This window comes from Homo sapiens, chromosome 16, assembly GCF_000001405.40.
Source record: "Homo sapiens chromosome 16, GRCh38.p14 Primary Assembly".
NCBI classification, from domain to species: domain Eukaryota; kingdom Metazoa; phylum Chordata; class Mammalia; order Primates; family Hominidae; genus Homo; species Homo sapiens.
Genome location: NC_000016.10, coordinates 4838936 through 4856407, shown reverse-complemented (window position 1 = coordinate 4856407; position 17472 = coordinate 4838936). Strand labels below are relative to the sequence as shown.

General features: G+C 46.5%; 2 protein-coding genes and 1 long non-coding RNA gene across 27 annotated transcripts in view, besides 7 other annotated features; 2 read left to right on the top strand and 1 right to left on the bottom strand.

The window, feature by feature from the left end:
• The window catches only part of UBN1 (ubinuclein 1), a 34921-nt gene extending 25994 nt beyond the window's left edge, over positions 1 to 8927 (bottom strand). For 10 of the 15 annotated variants that reach the window (XR_007064874.1, XR_007064875.1, NM_001079514.3 and 7 more), the window contains exons 1-2: positions 8198 to 8927; positions 3242 to 3529 (exon numbers count right to left, since the gene is read on the bottom strand). Coding sequence is in view for 13 of the 15 variants with exons in the window: in NM_001079514.3 (NP_001072982.1) it covers positions 3242 to 3490 (249 nt within the window). In the remaining 2 variants the exon portion in view is untranslated. 15 annotated transcript variants of the gene reach the window in all.
• Positions 3339 to 4538: an enhancer, noted in NCBI's record as "MED14-independent group 3 enhancer chr16:4901871-4903070 (GRCh37/hg19 assembly coordinates)". NCBI's record gives its function as "activates an origin of replication core promoter dependent on BRD2, BRD4, P300/CBP and CDK7 cofactors, and independent of MED14, by STARR-seq in HCT116 cells {active_cell/tissue: HCT116}" and the evidence as "EXISTENCE:reporter gene assay evidence [ECO:0000049][PMID:35650434]".
• Positions 8119 to 8961: an enhancer, noted in NCBI's record as "H3K27ac hESC enhancer chr16:4897448-4898290 (GRCh37/hg19 assembly coordinates)". NCBI's record gives its function as "activates a minimal SCP1, AML or CMV promoter by ChIP-STARR-seq in primed H9 embryonic stem cells {active_cell/tissue: H9 hESC(primed)}" and the evidence as "EXISTENCE:reporter gene assay evidence [ECO:0000049][PMID:30033119]".
• Positions 8119 to 9066: a biological region, named in NCBI's record as "H3K27ac hESC enhancer GRCh37_chr16:4897448-4898290".
• Positions 8247 to 8336: a silencer, noted in NCBI's record as "silent region_7169". NCBI's record gives its function as "represses an Ori minimal core promoter by ATAC-STARR-seq in GM12878 lymphoblastoid cells {active_cell/tissue: GM12878}" and the evidence as "EXISTENCE:reporter gene assay evidence [ECO:0000049][PMID:35858748]".
• Positions 8347 to 9066: a silencer, noted in NCBI's record as "silent region_7168". NCBI's record gives its function as "represses an Ori minimal core promoter by ATAC-STARR-seq in GM12878 lymphoblastoid cells {active_cell/tissue: GM12878}" and the evidence as "EXISTENCE:reporter gene assay evidence [ECO:0000049][PMID:35858748]".
• GLYR1 (glyoxylate reductase 1 homolog) overlaps positions 9120 to 17472 on the top strand; it is a 44086-nt gene continuing 35733 nt past the window's right edge. For 10 of the 11 annotated variants that reach the window (NR_136698.2, NR_136699.2, NR_136700.2 and 7 more), the window contains exons 1-3: positions 9120 to 9180; positions 10198 to 10234; positions 11255 to 11334. Coding sequence is in view for 5 of the 11 variants with exons in the window: in NM_001324096.2 (NP_001311025.2) it covers positions 9143 to 9180; positions 10198 to 10234; positions 11255 to 11334 (155 nt within the window). In the remaining 6 variants the exon portion in view is untranslated. Of the gene's footprint in view, positions 9181 to 10197; positions 10235 to 11254; positions 11335 to 12805; positions 13005 to 17472 lie in introns of all 11 variants that reach the window. The other variant, NR_136695.2, reaches the window with a different exon arrangement.
• Positions 9257 to 9316: an enhancer, noted in NCBI's record as "active region_10346". NCBI's record gives its function as "activates an Ori minimal core promoter by ATAC-STARR-seq in GM12878 lymphoblastoid cells {active_cell/tissue: GM12878}" and the evidence as "EXISTENCE:reporter gene assay evidence [ECO:0000049][PMID:35858748]".
• Positions 9617 to 9676: an enhancer, noted in NCBI's record as "active region_10345". NCBI's record gives its function as "activates an Ori minimal core promoter by ATAC-STARR-seq in GM12878 lymphoblastoid cells {active_cell/tissue: GM12878}" and the evidence as "EXISTENCE:reporter gene assay evidence [ECO:0000049][PMID:35858748]".
• Positions 15018 to 17165, top strand: LOC124903638 (uncharacterized). The gene is made up of 2 exons (XR_007064967.1): positions 15018 to 16156; positions 16729 to 17165. It is a non-coding gene; the product is annotated as an uncharacterized LOC124903638 (long non-coding RNA).

Below are 17472 nucleotides of genomic sequence, written 5' to 3'. Positions count from 1 at the left end.
TACACTAAAAGAACTGCTGCACAAATGTGCCTGATTTTATTGTATTTTTAACACTGCAGAGTAGACCCACGACGATTTAGGAGTTCTGAACCCGAAGTCCAGGACTGAATCCTCTGAATTGGATCAAAATTCTCTGTGTATCCTCCATGCATTTTTCTGCAATGGTGAAGGGCATCTGTAGTCCCCAAAAAGGTGACATCAGAGCACTGGAGTTCTAATTTCAGTTGACCTGCTGATTTGGTTTGAACCCATGAATAAACACATTAACCAACTCCTGCTCCTGTCTCTTCCTCTAAAGGAAGAAGATACCATTTTCCTGAAACAGGAATTATAAAGGGATTTGAAATTACTTTCTGTCATTCTGCCCAGTGGTGCTCATGCAACAGGCTGACCCTTGGTACAGACTCACAGGCCTCCATTCTGGCAATCAGGCAATCAGATCTCAATCAAGGAAACACTTTTTCTTTTTTGGTTTGGTGTTTTTTGGTAGGGGGAGATGGAGTCGCCATCACCCAGGCTGGAGTACAGTGGCATGATCTCAGCTCACTGCAATCTCTGCCTCCTGGGTTCAAGCAATTATCCTGCCTCAGCCTACCGAGTAGCTGGGATTACATGCATGCACTACCACACCCGGCTAATTTTTGTATTTTTAGTAGAGATGGGTTTTTGCCATGTTGATCAGGCTGGTATCAAACTCCTGACATCAAGTGATCCGCCTGCCTCGGCCACCCAAAGTGTGGGGATTACAGGCATGAGTCACTGCGCCAGGCCTTCCAGCCTTTTTTTTTTTTTTTTTTTTTTGACACAGGGTCTTGCTTTCACCCAGTGCGGTGGTGTGATCACGGCTCACTGCAACCTTGACCTCCCAGGCTCAAGCAATCCTCCCACCTCAGCTTTCTGAGTAGCTGGAACTTCAGGCATGCACCATCATGCCCAGCTAATTTCTGTATTATTTTGCACAGATGGAGTTTCACTATGTTGCCCAGGCTAGTCTTGAACTCCTGTGGTCAAGTGATCCTCATGTCTCAGACTCCCAAAGTGCTGGGATTACAGGTGTGAGCCACTATGCCAGGCCAAGAAAACACATTTTTTTAATCTCAGGAAAAAAAGATTAATCCTTCTAACCAAAAATACCCTCCGAACAGCACACCTGTGAATAAGACCGACTGATCACTTGGCACTGAGGCATACTGCTAGAAAATTCACAACATGATTTCATTCTCGTTCCACACTCAGACAACTGTGAACCAATTACCAGCCTCATCCCCATTTCACTAAGAGACATGCTAGAGACCACAATGCTGCGAGTGTGGGGCCCACTTACCTTTTCCTCAGAGCCTAGCACAGTGCAAAGGCAGACACAGGTGCTTAAAAATGCTTTTCACGGGCCAGGCACGGTGGCTCACGCCTGTAATCCCAGCACTTTGGGAGGCAGAGACGGGCGGATCACGAGGTCAGGAGATCGAGACCATCCTGGCTAACACGGTGGAACCCTGTCTCTACTAAAAATACAAAAAATTAACCAGACGTGGTGGCGGGCGCCTGTAGTCCCAGCTACTCGAGAGGCTGAGACAGGAAAACGGCATGAACCGAGGAGGCGGAGCTTGCAGTGAGCCAAGATTGCACCACTGCATGCCAGCCTGGGCGACAGAGCGAGACTCTGTCTCAAAAAAAAAAACAGCTTTTCACCTAGGCGGTACTCAAATACCATACAATTCCATCTACATAAAATACAAAAACACGGCCAGGTGCGGTGACTCACGCCTATAATCCTAACACTTTGGGAGGCGGAGGTGGGTGGATCACTTGAGGTCAGGAGTTGGAGACCAGCATGGCCTACATGGTTAAAATGGTAAAACCCCATCTCTACTAAAAATACAAAAAAAAAAAAAAAAAATTAGCCAGGCGTGGTGGCTGGCACCCGTAATCCTAGCTACTCGGGAGGCTGAGGCAGGAGAAACATTTGAACCTGGGAGGCGGAAGTTGCAGTGAGCCAAGATTGCATCACCGCACTCCAGCCTGGGTGACAGAGTGAGACTTGGTCTCAAAAAACAACAACAACAACAAAAAAGAGAGGCCAGGTGCTGTGGCTCATGCCTGTAATCCCAGCACTTTGAGAGGCCAAGGTGGGTGGATCACAAGGTCAGGAGATCGAGACCACCCTGACTAACACATTGAAACGCTGTCTCTACTAAAAATACAAAAAATTTGCCGGGCGTGGTGGCGGACGCCTGCACTCCCAGCTACTCGGGAGGCTGAGGCAGGAGAATGGCGTGAACCCGGGAGGCAGAGGTTGCACTGAGACAAGATGGTGCCACTGCACTCCAGCCTGGGCGACAGAGTAAGACTCTGCCTCAAAAACAAAAAAACCCCACAAATCTAAGCAGATCTAAGCTGTTAGAAATCAGGGCAGTGGTTGCCCATAAGTATTGAGGTAGTCTTCTGGCAGGGCAGAAGGAGGGTTTCTGGGGTCCTGATAAATATATTTTGTGACCTACGTGCAGGTTACATGGGGGTACTGAGTTCATGAAAATCCATCAAGTTGTGGCTAGGTGCAGTGGCTCATGTTTGTAATCCCAGCACTTTGGGAAGCCAAGGCAGGCAGATCACTTGAGGCCAGGAGTTTGAGACCAGCCTGGCCAACACAGTGAAACGCCATCTCTACTAAAAACACAGAAATTAGCTGGGTGTGGTGGCGTGCACCTGTAGTCAGTCCCAGGTACTCGGGAGGTTGAGGCAGGAGAATCACTTGAACTCGGGAGGCGGAGGTTACAGTGAGCCGAGATCGCCCCATTGCATTCCAGCCTGGACGACAGGGCGAGACTCGGTCTCGAAAAAAAAAAAAAGAAAGAAAAAAAAAAAGGCAGTCTACGTGTTTTTTTGTCTGCCCCTATACTAGGTAGACAGCAAGATTCTGTTGGAAGAGGAAAATGTCCAGCATGAAATTCTAACACTGGAACTGTCAGGGACTGGTTTCATTTACACATAACGTTTATAACCTTGGCAGAGAAAAATGTATTGTTTTTAAAATTTATGTTAATTAGTCATAATTCAAATTGGCCTCTCCCTTTGCGCACAGAGGTAAGAGAAGCAAATCTTGTGCTTGCCTTGAGTGAGTGACAGGATCTTGGGGCAGCCAAAACCTCAGTTAAGTCTTGCTTCCCCGCTACGGAAGCCCCACATGCATGCACTGACCCCTGTGCGTTAAACCTGCAGCGCCTCTGGGAACAAAGGGGTGTACCTTATCTCCAGGCTGAAGGCCTTTTACCTTCCCTCGGATATTCTTCACCAGCTCTGGGTAGAAGAACTCTGGGCAGCGTTTGTGATCTGGTTCAAAGAGGGTGAGTGTAATCCGAACAGCTGCTGCAGCCGGCTCACAGTCCTGATGCTGTTCTCCTGCCCCAGCCTCCTCCTTCCGGGACTTCTTCAAAAACGCAGGATTCAGGGAACCTGGGAGAGAGGTGAACTGGACCCTGTGGGGCTCCGACATGGCTACCAACAAGTCTTAGCGGGTGTCACTGCATGGCTTCTGTTAACATTGAAAAGAAGGGCCAGGTCAAACGAAGATGATAAAATAGTTTACCTGCCTAATTAAAGAGATTTAAGTTTAAGAGAATTTCATTGTCAAGAAAACTCCATTGTTATATTTTGTCATTTATTGTTTTTTTCTGCTTATTCATCCTAAAATTTTTTCACAATCATTCAGAGATAGTCACTGCTTAGCATACTTCCAGTCTTTTTTCCTGTGCATGTGTATCCTAGATCCTTGACCTTAAAGAACCCATGCTGACAGAGCCTTAGACCTCCAAATTGTAAAGACTACTAAAATATTAATTATTTTCCATTTAATTTGTCTAACACTTATTTTTTCTGGCTGAGAATAATCTTTAAGACCCCTTTATTTTCATCACCAGCAGTTTCCTATCATTGGGAGCCAATCTTCACAATGACAAAGCTTTTATCAGCTGAACAAAAGATATTGCCTACCCCAGGATAGTAAAGAACCAGTGACTCAGGAGGGTGTGGCTAGGCTCACTTCCTAACAAAGTTACACACTCCTGCCCTGTGCACCACTCTCACACCCAAACACTGGCCTTGACAAAATAACAAATTATGACATGCCAAAGACCTTCAAAATCACTTGGGAATGGTCAAAATAGATTTTGAATACAGAATTCCAAATGTTCACAGAATATGAATATGCTAATACATGCCATACATGTTTTCTGCTTACTTCGTATACAATTTTGTGTCCTGCTTTTTAAAAGAGTTCATATTCTAGTGTGAACTTTCTACCATACCAATAAATAAAGATATTCATTGCAGCCTTGTTTATACAAGAAAAATGATGGAAGCAACCAAAATGACAATCAAATGACAATCAATCAGGGAATGGTTGAATAAATTGTGACTTTCTTATTGACTTGTAAGCGCTCTTGATATTATACATAAATTATTATACATTATAGATATACAAAATCTGTCATATCTCTTATAAGTACTTCTTCTTGTTTTGTTATTTGCTGTTTAGTGTTGCTTAGAGTGAGGTATGATGAAAGAAATGTTAACTTTTTTCTTTTTTTTTTGAGCTAGGGTCTCGCTGTTATATCCAGGCTAGAGAGCAGTGGCCCAATCACAGCCACTTCAGCCTCAACCTCCCAGGCTCAAGCAAACCTCTCACCACTTCAACCTCTCGAGGAGCTGAGACTACAGGTATATCCCACCATGCCTGGCTAATTTTTTCTATTTTTTGTAGAGATGCTGACCCACTATGTTGCCCAGGCTGGTCTTAAGCTCACAACCTCAAGCGACCCTCCTTCCAAGGAAATTATAACTTTGTATGCAGTTAAAACTAGGCTCTTTTCCTTTGAGACTCCTCCCATTTCTTTTATGCCTAGAATGTTCGTCTCCAACCAGATCTTATAGAAGAACTTGTGTATATAGGTTTTTTGTTTTTTGAGACAAGGTCTCACTCTGTTGCCCAGGCTGGAATAAAGTGACTCAATCTCAGCTCACTGAGGCCTCAACCTCCCAAGCTAAAGCGATCCTCCTACCTCAGCCTCCCTAGTAGTTGGAACTACAGGCGTGCTAATTTTTGTATTTTTTGTAGGGACGTTGTTTTGCCATGTTGCCCAGACTGGTTTTGAACTCCTGCTGGGATTACAGGTGTGAGCCACTGAGCCCAGCCTATATGGTCATTTATAGATATTTTTTCACATTTACTTCATTAACCCCAGATGAATTTGCTATGCTATAAAGTATGAGGAGAGGCTGTAACTTGGTTTCTTCCAGCATCAATCACTAAACAATCCTTCCTTCCTCTGCTGATTTGGCATATATTGCAAAGCAACATCACAGATATCTAAGGCCTGTTTCTGAAGTCCATGTGTCATATTAATACGGTATTTAGAGATTCTTTAATCAGTATTGCACTGTTTTGTAAAGTTTCATACTTTAATGTTGCAAAGTTAAAGCTCATGTTTATTATCCTTCTTTATAAATAATACTTTGCCATTCCAGCCTATGTATTATTTTGGCAGGTTTCAAAAAAACTCACTGTATTTTGGTTGTAAATCAATCACAAATGTGAGTTAATTCAGGAAAATTAGCATATATCGTATATATCCACATACATGTAGACGTATTTGTATATATCCAATATTCATTTGTCGAATTATGATCACAAAATCAACTTATAACATCACATAAGGGAACAAAATATCTACAAATGAAGAGTTAAAATAATTCTAATCAGGCGGCAAAACGATTAGCAGTGTAACAGGCTGGCGCTGCAAAAGACCATCTCCCAACACGTACTAAGATGTTAAAGGAGATTTCCCTAAAAGAAATCTCCAAGGCCCTCAGGATATTTGTGATGCGCTGGGTTGTGGAAATAAATCCCAGCTGAAGGCTTACAGATTCCCCCACTGATAGAACCGGAACAGTCTCACTATAAGAAGGGAATCAGCAAGTTAACCAATGGGATGCAGGAAGGTCATCCTTGAATTGGCAACCAGGTCCTACTCCCCCTGTCCAGGCAGTAAACACATAACCTTATCTCAGTCCAAGTCTGAGAGACTGCAGCTTCAATCCTAGATGGCAAAACTGCTCCTTTCAGTTGCTTAAGTGACTCTCCAGGCCCAAGAAGGTAAAAAATAGGACTACAGGATAAAGTGAGTCAAATCTGTACTCTATTACCACTTAGATTTGGGGTTGTTTTATAATCATTATAATGTTCTGCTGTTACTAAGCCATTTGAAACATTTAAGAGAATCCAATATATTTAACAATGGTACGTTAGACTTACAATCATAATTCAAAATGCTTAAGAAAATATAATTAAGTTCAAACATGTTTGAATGCTTAAAAAAAACTTACATTTATCTATTAGACTTACGAGAGTTGCCTAAGTCCTTGGAAAGATTTTAGCTTTTTTTGTGGTTTTTTTTTTTTTTTTTGTGAGACAGTTGCCTCACTCCTGTTGCCCAGGCTGGAGTGCAGTGGCACCATGAGAGCTCACTGCAGCCTCAACTTCCCGGACCCAGCACTTTGGGAGGCTAAGGCAGGATGATCGCTGGAGCCTAGGAGTTTAAGACCAGCCTGGACAACATGATGAGACTTCATCTGCACAAAAAAATTTTTTTTAAATTAGCCAGGTATGGTGGCACACCCCTGTAGTCTTGGCTACTAAGGAGGCTGAGGTGGGAGGATGGCTTTAGACTGGGAAGGTCCAGGCTGCAGTGAGCCGTGATCCTGCCACTGCACTCCAGCCTGGGCGACAAGAGTGAAACTCCGTCTCAAACAAAAAAAAGAAAAAAACAAAGATCCCCCTTTAAAAACCTCAGTTGGTGTTACTGAGAAAATACTAGCCTTCCTTGTCCCTTGGTTATCCTCAGCAATTTTTAATTTTTTCTTACTATATATATATATATCTCCTTCTAAACATTGTATTTTCAAACTGGTTATTGATGAAACAGAAAAACTAAATTGTGCATTCCAACTTATAATGAGTACCCTTCCTGAATTCTTATTTTAATGGGTTTTTTGGTTTTTGTTTTTGTTTTCAAAATAGGCAGACCTATCATCCACGGAAATGAGAATTCTGTCTTCCCTTTTCCAAAAATTGCATTTCTTATTTTTGTTTCCTGTCTTACTGCACTGGCTAGAACTTTCAGGTTTTAGGCAATATATTCTTATTATCTAATAGTGGTAGAAATGTACCATGTTTCTGATGTTAAGGGGAATGCCTCTAGGTTTTGGTGCAATGTTCATTTGAGATTTTTTTTTCTTTTTTCTTTTTGGCGGGGGGACGAGTCTCGCTCGCTCTGTCGCCTAGCTGGAGTGCAGTGACATAATCTCGGCTCACGGCAACCTCCGCTTCCCGGGTTAAGCGATTCTCCTGCCTCAGCCTCCCAAGTAGCTGGGACTACAGGCATGCGCCACCACGCCCGGCTAATTTTGTATTTTTAGTAGAGTACTGGGTTTGACCGTGTTGGCCAGGCTGGTCTCGAACTCCTGATCTCAGGTGGTCCACCCGCCTCGGCATCCCAAAATGCTGGGATTACAGGCTTATACCACCCTGCCCGGCCAAGATTCATGTTTTTATTTAAGTTATTAAAATCTCATTCAATTCCTCACAAATTCAGAATTTTTAAACAGGAACTTATGTTAAATTTTTATCAAATTATTCCCTGGAATCTTAAATACGCTTTAAAGATCACTTTGTCTTAAAAATACACACGCAGTAAATGACAGTCCGTGCAGCTAATTCTTGGTACTTCAGGGAAACTGATCTCCCAAGAAAAATCAGGCTGCGGGACGACCCAGTACGCTAAACACCGACTTGCAACCGAAATCTCTAACCACCACAATGCCTTGGGGAAATGCGTGTCGACTCGCCACCTTTGCCAGCTGGCAGTGACTCAACAAGAGCCCGACACCAAGTCTAAGTCAATCCTTAACACTGTGGAGTCTGTGATCGGGACTGGGATCTTTTGCAAAATTGTGATTCTACCTGGTCTGCTGAAGTTTGGGCCGACGCTGCGCTCAACTGCAGTTAACACTTCCCAGTTCATGGTTCAGTTTTAAAGTGTCCAAACTACGCCCGGCATCTGTCTTCCTGTTGTCACAACTTTTTCAAAAGTGCAAAACTAGGGCAAGGCTAACGAGAGAGCCCGGACCCGACAACGACACGCACCTTTGTCCCCAGCGCCGACGCGGGCCGCAGACGTCCCCCCGCGGCGGTCCTCATGCCGGTCCCCGGGCGGCGGCGCAGCTAGCGGTCGGCTGCTAAGCCGTGGCTCCCAGCGGGCGGGCGGCCCGCGCCTCGGCCCATGGCCGGGTCCCCGAGCCCAGGGGAGCCTGGTGTGCCGCGCCGCGCGCCGGCCCAGGAGGAAGCGAAGAAATGCCAACTCGACGTCCGCGCAGCCACTCCGGGGACACCAGGGGGTCGGGGGAGCAGCCTCCGGTCGCCCCAGGAGAACTTGCGGCGCGGGACCCCGCGCTCAGACGGCGCCTCCGAAAGCGGCCGTCGGGAGGAGCGCTCCAAAGAACACGGGCGGCGGGAGCGGACGGGCGCGGACACCGGGGCCTCCCGGCCTGCGGCCAAGCAGAGTTGCCGGGCGCGGGAGCCCAGACCCGGCGGAGGCTGAGTTCCAGGCCGCGCCGAGCTCCGTCAGGGTAGCTCACTGGCGCTGCGACGGGGCCGACCAGCGCCTCGGGCTCGGGAATGGCCCCGGGGCCCGCGCCGGACCAACGGGCGTAACGGAAGCGCCGAGAGGGGAGGGGCGCGGAGTCCAAGACCCGGGGGCGGGGCGAGCCGCGAGGCCGGCTCCCTCTCGCGCTCAGCCGGTCGCACCGTCGCCGCCGCCGCCGCCTCAGACCGCGGGCGCTTCGTTGTCACGAGCCGAAGGGAGGGGGAAGGAGCCGGGAGTCTCTGCGCTCCGGCGCGCGGAGACCGCGGCGCTCGCGTCACGTGCCCCTCGGTCGACCAATGATCCCCGGCGGGCGCGGTGACGTCAGAGTAGCGGCGTGGCCAGTGACAGCCGGCCCCCGTCACGTGGTCGGGCCCACTCCAATGGGCGGCGCCGGGGCGACTTGCTGTTCCCGGCGGCCCGTGCGTCGGCGGTGGTTGGGTGGTAAGATGGCGGCTGTGAGTCTGCGGCTCGGCGACTTGGTGTGGTGAGTCCGAGCGGCCGGGCCAACCGAGACGCGCCGGGGAGCTACCCGCCTGGGCGCGGGGTTCGCTGCCGGCCCTGGAGCTGCCTTTTTATGCGCTCCAGGTCGCGGAGAGAGGGGAAGAGAAGGTGCCGGCGCTTGCGAGCGGCGCCAGGCGGAAGGGGCAGTCCAGTCCCGGGGGACCGAGGCCGAGGGTGGCCACGTCGGGCACCGGCTTTGATCCCCGAGGCCGGCCGGGTGGGGTCTGCACTCGGGGCCCAGATACTGGCGGCCCCCGTGAAGGGAGCCGCCGGTGCCGCGAGGCTTCCCCGGACGACCGGTCCCCGGGGTCTTGTTGGGGCTTCCCAGAAAGCAGAAGCGCCGGGGACCGGACCTGCGAGATCTGGCCGGTGCCATTCGGTCAAAGCCCAGGTTGCGATGCAGCCGACCTGTGCGGCCGGCTCAGCCGGGGTTGTCTAAACCGGACTGCTGGCGTTGCCCCGCGAAGAAACGGCGGGGGGACTTCTCCTTTACAACCGATGGCTTGGCAGTGACCAGTGCACGCTTGGGTGCCTCCCGCGGTCTGCTTCTGTGTCCCAGACAACCGCCCGAACCAAGACTTTGTCGCCGCCTCCCTCGAGCTGCGTAGCTTGTTTCTCCACCCAGAGGAAGGCTTCCATTAGCATTTGTCAAAGCCAGGCAGGTCTCCTGTTGAATTAAACCAGACTTAGGGAGGGAAAGTCTGTGTTTACAGAGGAAGCTGTCCTCCCACCCCCGTCATTAAGAAGCTCTAGACAAGTGACTTTTGACAGTTGTGTTGTTCTGTATTCCTTGTCAACAGAAGAATGGATATGCGTTGTGCACATAAGTATACAATTTTGCATTTTACTTCTGAGGGTGTTGGGCCCAGCTATGAAAGCTTTTGTTTCGGCATTTGAGGATGCCAGCAGAGATTTAGGAAAATAAATTGCGTATTGAGTGGGTTGAAGGAGATGGACTGGCTTTTGCAGGGCAAGTGTTGACTCTTTGTGTTTTCTCTAGGGGGAAACTCGGCCGATATCCTCCTTGGCCAGGAAAGGTGAGTGTCTTGCTACTAAAGGAAGAGATCTGAAGTTGGGTTTGAAGAGGTGGAGAATGTAAGATGCATTCCTCTCAGTTTCTAGTATTGAGTTAAATTGGGCTCATTCAGATGGCACTTAGAATTTTTTTTCCCCTAGTATCGGTTATTTTTTAAAAGGCAATGCAGTATACACCAGATCATTAAATCTTCTCTAAACCCTTATTTCTGGATTTAGAGGAGGTTTATGAAGTTTCTTTTTTAACCCCGGAAATAATTCTAGTCTGAATTTAGCTTTATGCTTAAATGTAACAAAAGGAGAAGAAAATATAAATTATCCAGGAAGAAAGTCTAAATGTAGGTTAGTGAAAAGCCAAAGTATTTTTGTCCCAACTAAGTTTAAATCTTCTTTCCATGTTACCATATGTGCTACTCCAGTGCCTCTTTGCAGAAGTTGGCATTCCAGATTTTGCATGAGGTGATCCATCATTGCTTTCCAAATGTTGTGTTTTTATATTCTTGCTTGGAGCCCGGGAGGTGTCTTTAGATGGTCTCTTTGCAATATGGTGTTTTCTGTGCCTCGGTTGTCCTTTGTTTTCACTATGTCCTGTGTCAACCCTTCCTGCACAGGAAGTATTTCAAAGAGTGTCGTCTGCATTTTTTCAGTAATAATGGGGTCACATTGGAGCAGGGGTGGGGTGGTGGGGGGCAGGGGATGCTGTTGATCTTAGTTTTAACTGCTTGTAAAACAGGGCCACTGCAGTAAAAGGGATATTGTGTCTACTGAGCACTGTGCTACATGTTAAATATTGGGAACTTCTAGAATATCTACACATTTCCATACACCTCAATAGAAAAATGGGAGATTTAGACAAGTACTAGGCCTTGGGTTCTGTTTTGTATATAAATAAATTTATTTGTAAGTAAGTCCTTTTAATTTACTTTTTTCTTAGCAACGTAGAACTGTAGAGCAATGTGGAGCCACTAGAAAGTGGGCTGCTGTGTTGCCAGCCAACCTTTTTCCCCCCTTTTATCCTCCAGATTGTTAATCCACCAAAGGACTTGAAGAAACCTCGCGGAAAGAAATGCTTCTTTGTGAAATTTTTTGGAACAGAAGATCAGTGAGTAGTACTCACCAGGAGTCTCCCTTCGCCTTTCTTTCTGTGTTACCTGGAGTCTGAGCTGCTTTGAAAATATTCTAAGGATCCTTAGTTCAGTCTTCTTATAATGTGTAATACTGGCATCTCATTCTGCCTTCATACCTAAATAAAGGTGCAATTTCTTGCAGAAATTGCCCTAGACAACTGTCCTAGGTCTATAACTAAGTCAGGCAAGAACTAGGTTCATTTACCTTCTAACTATAACAATCACATTGAAACAGTTTCTCACATGTTTCTTTACCCAACTCCAAAGGCAGTTCCTTTTTGTTTGTTTTTGAGACAGAGACTTAGTCTGTCACCCAGCCTGGAGTGCAGAGGCAGTCTCAGTTCACCGCAACCTCTGCCTCACTGACTCAAGCGGTTCTCTCACCTCAGCCTCCCGAGTAGCTGGGACCACAGGTGTGCACCACCATGCCCAGCTAATTTTTTGTAGAGGGGGTTTTACCATGTTGCCCAGGATGTTCTTGAACTCCTGGACTCAAGCAATCCACCTGCCTTGGCCTCCCAAAGTGCTGGATTATAGGCGTGAGCCACTGCGCCCAGCTGGCAATTATTTTTATAAAAGCCATGTTCAGTTCTCTTTTAATGCCATATATCATTATGGTTCATGCTTGGGGTATACAGTGGAAACTTTTATTTATGTTAATAAAAGTAATTGTTCAATCATGTTCTCATGTGTAAAACTAAGTGATTTGCTTTGACATTGTTATAGTAAGTCTTTTTACCAGATCTGTCCTAAGTTGGGGAAACCAGGACCATTAATCTGAGACTCTGACCATATAACATGTTACAGTGACGGGAAGAACGTGAAGAACCTGTATTAACTTGAGTTGCTAGTGATTTGTTTAGCTTTTTATCACTATGTCAAGTGGCTTACCTGGGTCTAGCTAGATGGTTTGATTTTTTTTTTTTTTTTTTTTTGAGATGGAGTTTCACTCTGTCACCCAGGCTGGAGTGCAGTGGCATGATCTCAGCTCACTGCAACCTCCACCTCTCGGGTACAAGTGATTCTGGTGCCTGAGCCTCCCGAGTAGCTGGGACTACAGGCGCACACCACCACACCCGGCTAATTGTTTTATATTTTTTAGTAGAGACGGGGTTTCACCATGTTGGCCAGGCTGGTCTCAAACTCCTGACCTCAAGTCATCTGCCCCTCCCCCCCCCAACCCCCTCAGCCTCCCAAAGTGCTGGGATTACAGGCAAGAGCCACCATGCCCAGCCGGTTTGATTTCTTTAAGTAGTTGTATTTCTATTTATTATTCTTATAGGAAAATACAGCCTTAGATTTGAAAAAAATGTCTGTGGCTTCTCTGGTAAATCTAATTCTGACGGTTAAAGTATTTCTACTTAGAAAGCGATATATTATAAACAGTATTCTTCACTCATCCAGGAGTTTATATGTCAGATGCTCTTCCTGGTTTCATGTTTACAGATAGACCCAGCCCCATTTCTCTATCACAAGCCAGCTTAGCAGCCTGTGGTGGCAGTATTTCAAGGAGATCGCTGGCCTGGAGCTGTGGAGCCAGAGCTTCTGGAAGAGGGAATGTTCTTAGAACTCCATGGATTTAAAAAGAAGATTTGGCCGGGCATGGTGCCTCAGGCCTGCAATCCCAGTACTTTGGGAGGCCAAGGTGGGTGGATCACTGGAGGTCATGAGTTCGAGACCATCCTGGCCAACATGGCAAAACCCCGTCTCTACAAAAAATACAAAAATTAGCCAGGAGTGTTGGCGTCTACCTGTAATCCCAGCTACTTGGGAGGCTGAGGCTCGAGAATTGCCTGAACCCAGGAGGCAGAGATTGTTCGAGACCCTGCACTCCAGCATGGGTGACAGACTGAGACTATGTCTCAGAAAAGAAAAAGAAAAACAGGAAAGATTGTCCTCATGCATAACATCAGTGTTATGTGTCCACTTTCTGAATTGCTTGACACTGAGGGAATTTATAAGAAAGCAAGTATTATAGTTCCCACCTTCCAGATGCTCAGTCAAGTGACAAGTTGTAAACATTTCAGATAAGATGATGTGCACAATGATGGTCGGGCATGGTGGCTCATGCCTGTAACCCCAGCACTTTGGGAGGCCGGGGCAGGCAGATTGCTTAACGCCAGGAATTTGAGAACAGCCTGGCCAACATGGTGAAACCCTGTCTCTACTAAAAATACAAAAATTAGTCGGGTGTGGTGGTGCACACCTATAATCCCAGCTACTCAGGAAGCTGAGGCAGTAGAATTGGTTGAACCTGGGATGCGGAGGTTGCAGTGAGCTGAGATCGCGCCACTGCACTCCAGTCTGGGTGACAGAGCGAGACTCTGTCTCAAAAAATAAATAAAGATTATGTGCAGAATGAATGATGGCAGATAATTGTTAATTCTAGGCTGGGCACAGTGGCTCATGCCTGTAATCCCAGCACTTTGGGAGGCCAAGACAGGAGGATTGCTTGAGCCCAGGAGCCGGAGACCAGCCTGGACAACATAGCAAGACCTTGTCTCTACTTAAAAAAATAAATTTTTTTTTTCAATAGCCAGGCATGGTGGCACACAAGTGTAGTCCCAGGTATGCAGAAGGCTAAGGCAGGAGGATTGCTTGAGCCCAGGAGGTCAAAACTGCAGTGAGCCATGATCACAATATTGCACTCCAGTCTGGGTGACAGAGCTAGACCCTGTCTTAAAAAGAAAAAGAATTCTAGAAGAGGGAGAGCTCAGTGGAGAGCCATGAGAACCAAGAAGACTGACTGAAGAGATGGGATTTGTTTTTCTGTTTGTTTTTTTTTGTTGTTGTTTTTTTTTTTTTGAAACGGAGTCTCGCTCTGTCGCCCAGGCTGGAGTGCAGTGGCGCGATCTTGGCTCACTACAAGCTCCACCTCCCGGGTTCATGCCATTCTCCTGCCTCAGCCTCCCGAGTAGCTGGGACTACAGGCGCACACCACCATGCCCAGCTAATTTTTGTTGTATTTTTCAGTAGAGGCAGGGTTTCACCATGTTAGCCAAGATGGTCTTGATCTCCTGACCTCGTGATCTGCCCGCCTCGGCCTCCCAAAGTGCTGGGATTACAGGCGTGAGCCATCGCACTCAGCCAGAGATGGGATTTGAATCCAGCTCTGGAAGATACATAGAATCTGGATGGATGGGGACTATAGGGGCATTTCAGACAGTGGGGATACCATGAACAATTGGCATTAAGCTGGGTGTTATGGAAAGGAAGAGGCTCCCTGCCTGAGGTAACTTGTGCTTAGGAATAACAGAGGCAATATGGTTGGCCCAAACTTCATTAGCTAAATGAATAATTACACAAGTCTGAAACAAAAATGGGAACTCAGTCTCATAAGGAGCCTGAAAGCCATTGTTTCCTTATGTTTTTTGTTGTTGTTGTTGTTGTTGTTGTTCTTGTTTGGTTTCTTGATTTTTTTTTGAGAAAGGGTTGGAGTGCAGTATCACGGACATGGCTTACTGCATCCTTGACTTCCCAGGCTCAGGTAATCCTCCCACCTCAGCAGTCCGAGTAGCTGGGACCACAGTTGTGTGCCACCATGCCCTGCTAAATTTTTTACTTTTTTTTTTTTTTTTTTTTTTTTTTTTTGTAGAGACAAGTTCTCGCCATGTTTCCCAGGCTGGTCGCAAACTCCTGGGCTCAAGTGATCCTCCCACCTCGGCCTCCCGAAGTACTGGCATTATGGGCATGAGCCACAGCGCCGAGCCCCGATTTTTTTTTTAATGCTAAAAGACTAGATTAATAAACTGTGATCCTTGTTTATAACAAGTGCTAGAAATAGGACACAGAAAATTGGAGTTGAGTTAATTTCAGAGCTTAACCAGGCAAACAGGTGAAGCCAGTGGTGATGTGCTTGCTCAAGACAAAAATAGCCTGGATGGTGGTGGTGATGATATAATTTCTAACTGACGAAGGTTCTTTGGAGGGTTGTAAACAAGTGGGATACAAAGCAACTGCTAAATGCAATATTTTTAACTTTTTAAACTCCTTTGCTAGAGTTCTACATTTTAAACTATAAAAATGAAGTCACTGTGGTACTAATGTGTTATCTTTTTGTGGGTAGGCAGTTAACTTAGAGAAAGGAAATAAAGGGTAAAGATGTACAGTACTTCTCTAAAGAAGGAACACTTCCTTAGTGATCAGTGCTGGGGCAGATTTTATTTTGTGTTTTTCTATGAAGGTAAGATCTCCAGATTGGCTGGTGGCAGCAGATTACTTTGGGGAAAGAGCTCTGGATTGGTTACCAGCCTAATGTGCATTCAGGTACCGGTTCCACCTTGCTCCCTGATTTGGGCAAGCTATTTCACCTTTCTGAGCCTCTGTGTCCTCTACATAAGGGGATGATACCCCCTACCTCATAGTTAGGAAGGAAAAGTAGTATCTCTTGTGTAGAGTGTGGCTTGCCATACAGCAGGTATTAGCACACATTGGTCCAGGATGCCTTTAAGTATGGAAAACTGAGAGAGATGGAGACTCTCCCTATGGGAGAGAGAGAGAGTGTGTGTGTGTGTGTTTGTTTGAAAAGAAAGGAATATGAGAGTTGGAAGTTCCTAAAGGATGTCAGCCAGGTTTGCTCTTTTTACCAAAAAGGCTTTGAGTACAAAACCATGCATCATTCCACCTTTATGTAAAACTGTATGCGCCTCATCAGGAATACTCTATGGACTTCAGATCATGCTTTCAAAGGGATCTCTTAGAATTGGCCAAGATCCAGAAAAGGGAACTGAGTCAGACAAAAGAGCAGGACTCTTCAATGTGGAAAAGCAAAGACTGAAGGAATCACGGGATCAGGAGGTAGGAAACAGCGAATGGCCTAGAGGAGTTTGGCGATGGGCACTGCAAGTGGATTGTGGTATGACTGTGTTAGGACCAGGGTGAGGAGCACTGCATAAAAGGGGCGTTTAAGAGGTGGTGTAAACAGGTATTGCAAGGGGATTTTTTAGGGATGAGAACTAACTTGTGAAGACAAAGCCATAAGTGGCTCCTGTAGAAGCTGGACTGCACCTCGCCTTTAACACTTGACATCAGGGAGGGGGCATGTGGTCCAGGCACATCCTGGGTGGGGGCACCATTGGTTACTGGACCCTGGCCCAGGTGGATAGGGTCTGACCCAGTGGAGTGTCCTCCGTTCCTGAGAAATACAGGATTTGGTCAAAGATGTTCAGTTTCAAAATTGACACACTACTTAGGCAAAAAAAAGTGTAGTTATACTTTTTTAATATTTGCAAGGTCTTTTATTAAAGAGCAGAAAGAACGGCTCCTTATGACAAGATAATCAGTGATTACAATCTTTTAGAAACCTGATTTTTCTCTCTCCACATCTCTGCCAAAATATCTAACAAATTGTGTTGACATCCCACTGTTAGGAGAGGGCCAGACCTTCCTAATCAGGTGTCCTGGTGAGAGGAGGACTTCTTTATACGGATTCGGCTCCCTGAGCGAGATGGCCAAGACAAAACTGCCCACGTAATTTTTGTATTTTCATGGAAATACGAAGGGGATATAATTTCAGCAAAACCCTGCCAGCTTCACTTGGTGACTACAACCAAAGATTATGTGTCAAGTGCACGAGGGTCCCTCTCTGACAGGTCTGATTAGTGGTGACCCCCCCATCAGAGTAGAGACAGAGCTCACGGTTTAAAAGTTTCATCGGGGCCAGGCGTGATGGCTCACACCCGTAATCCCAACACTTCAAGAGGCAGAGGCAGAAGCATCACTCAAGCCTAAGAGTTCAAGGCCAGCCTGGGTAACATGGCAAGACCCATCTCTACAAAAAATTTAAAAATAAAAAATTTAAAGCTACCATGCCGGCTTGTTCTCACCTTTATACTCTATGCTTGTGTGTGTGTTTGTGTGTGTGTGTGTGCTTTTTCTCTGTCTGTCTCCCTCCCCCTGCCATCTTCTCCCCGCCCTTTCTCCTTTTCTCTTTCTCTTAGCTTCACGGCTTCAGCCCAGGTCACCTGTCTATCCGAAGGCTGAAACACAGGTGAGAGGGTTCATGCGTAGTAGCATGTACCTGTAGTCTCAGCTACTTGGGAGACTGAAGCAGAAGGATCGCTTGAGCCTGGGAGGTCAAGGCTACAGTGAACTGTGATTGAGGCACTGTATTC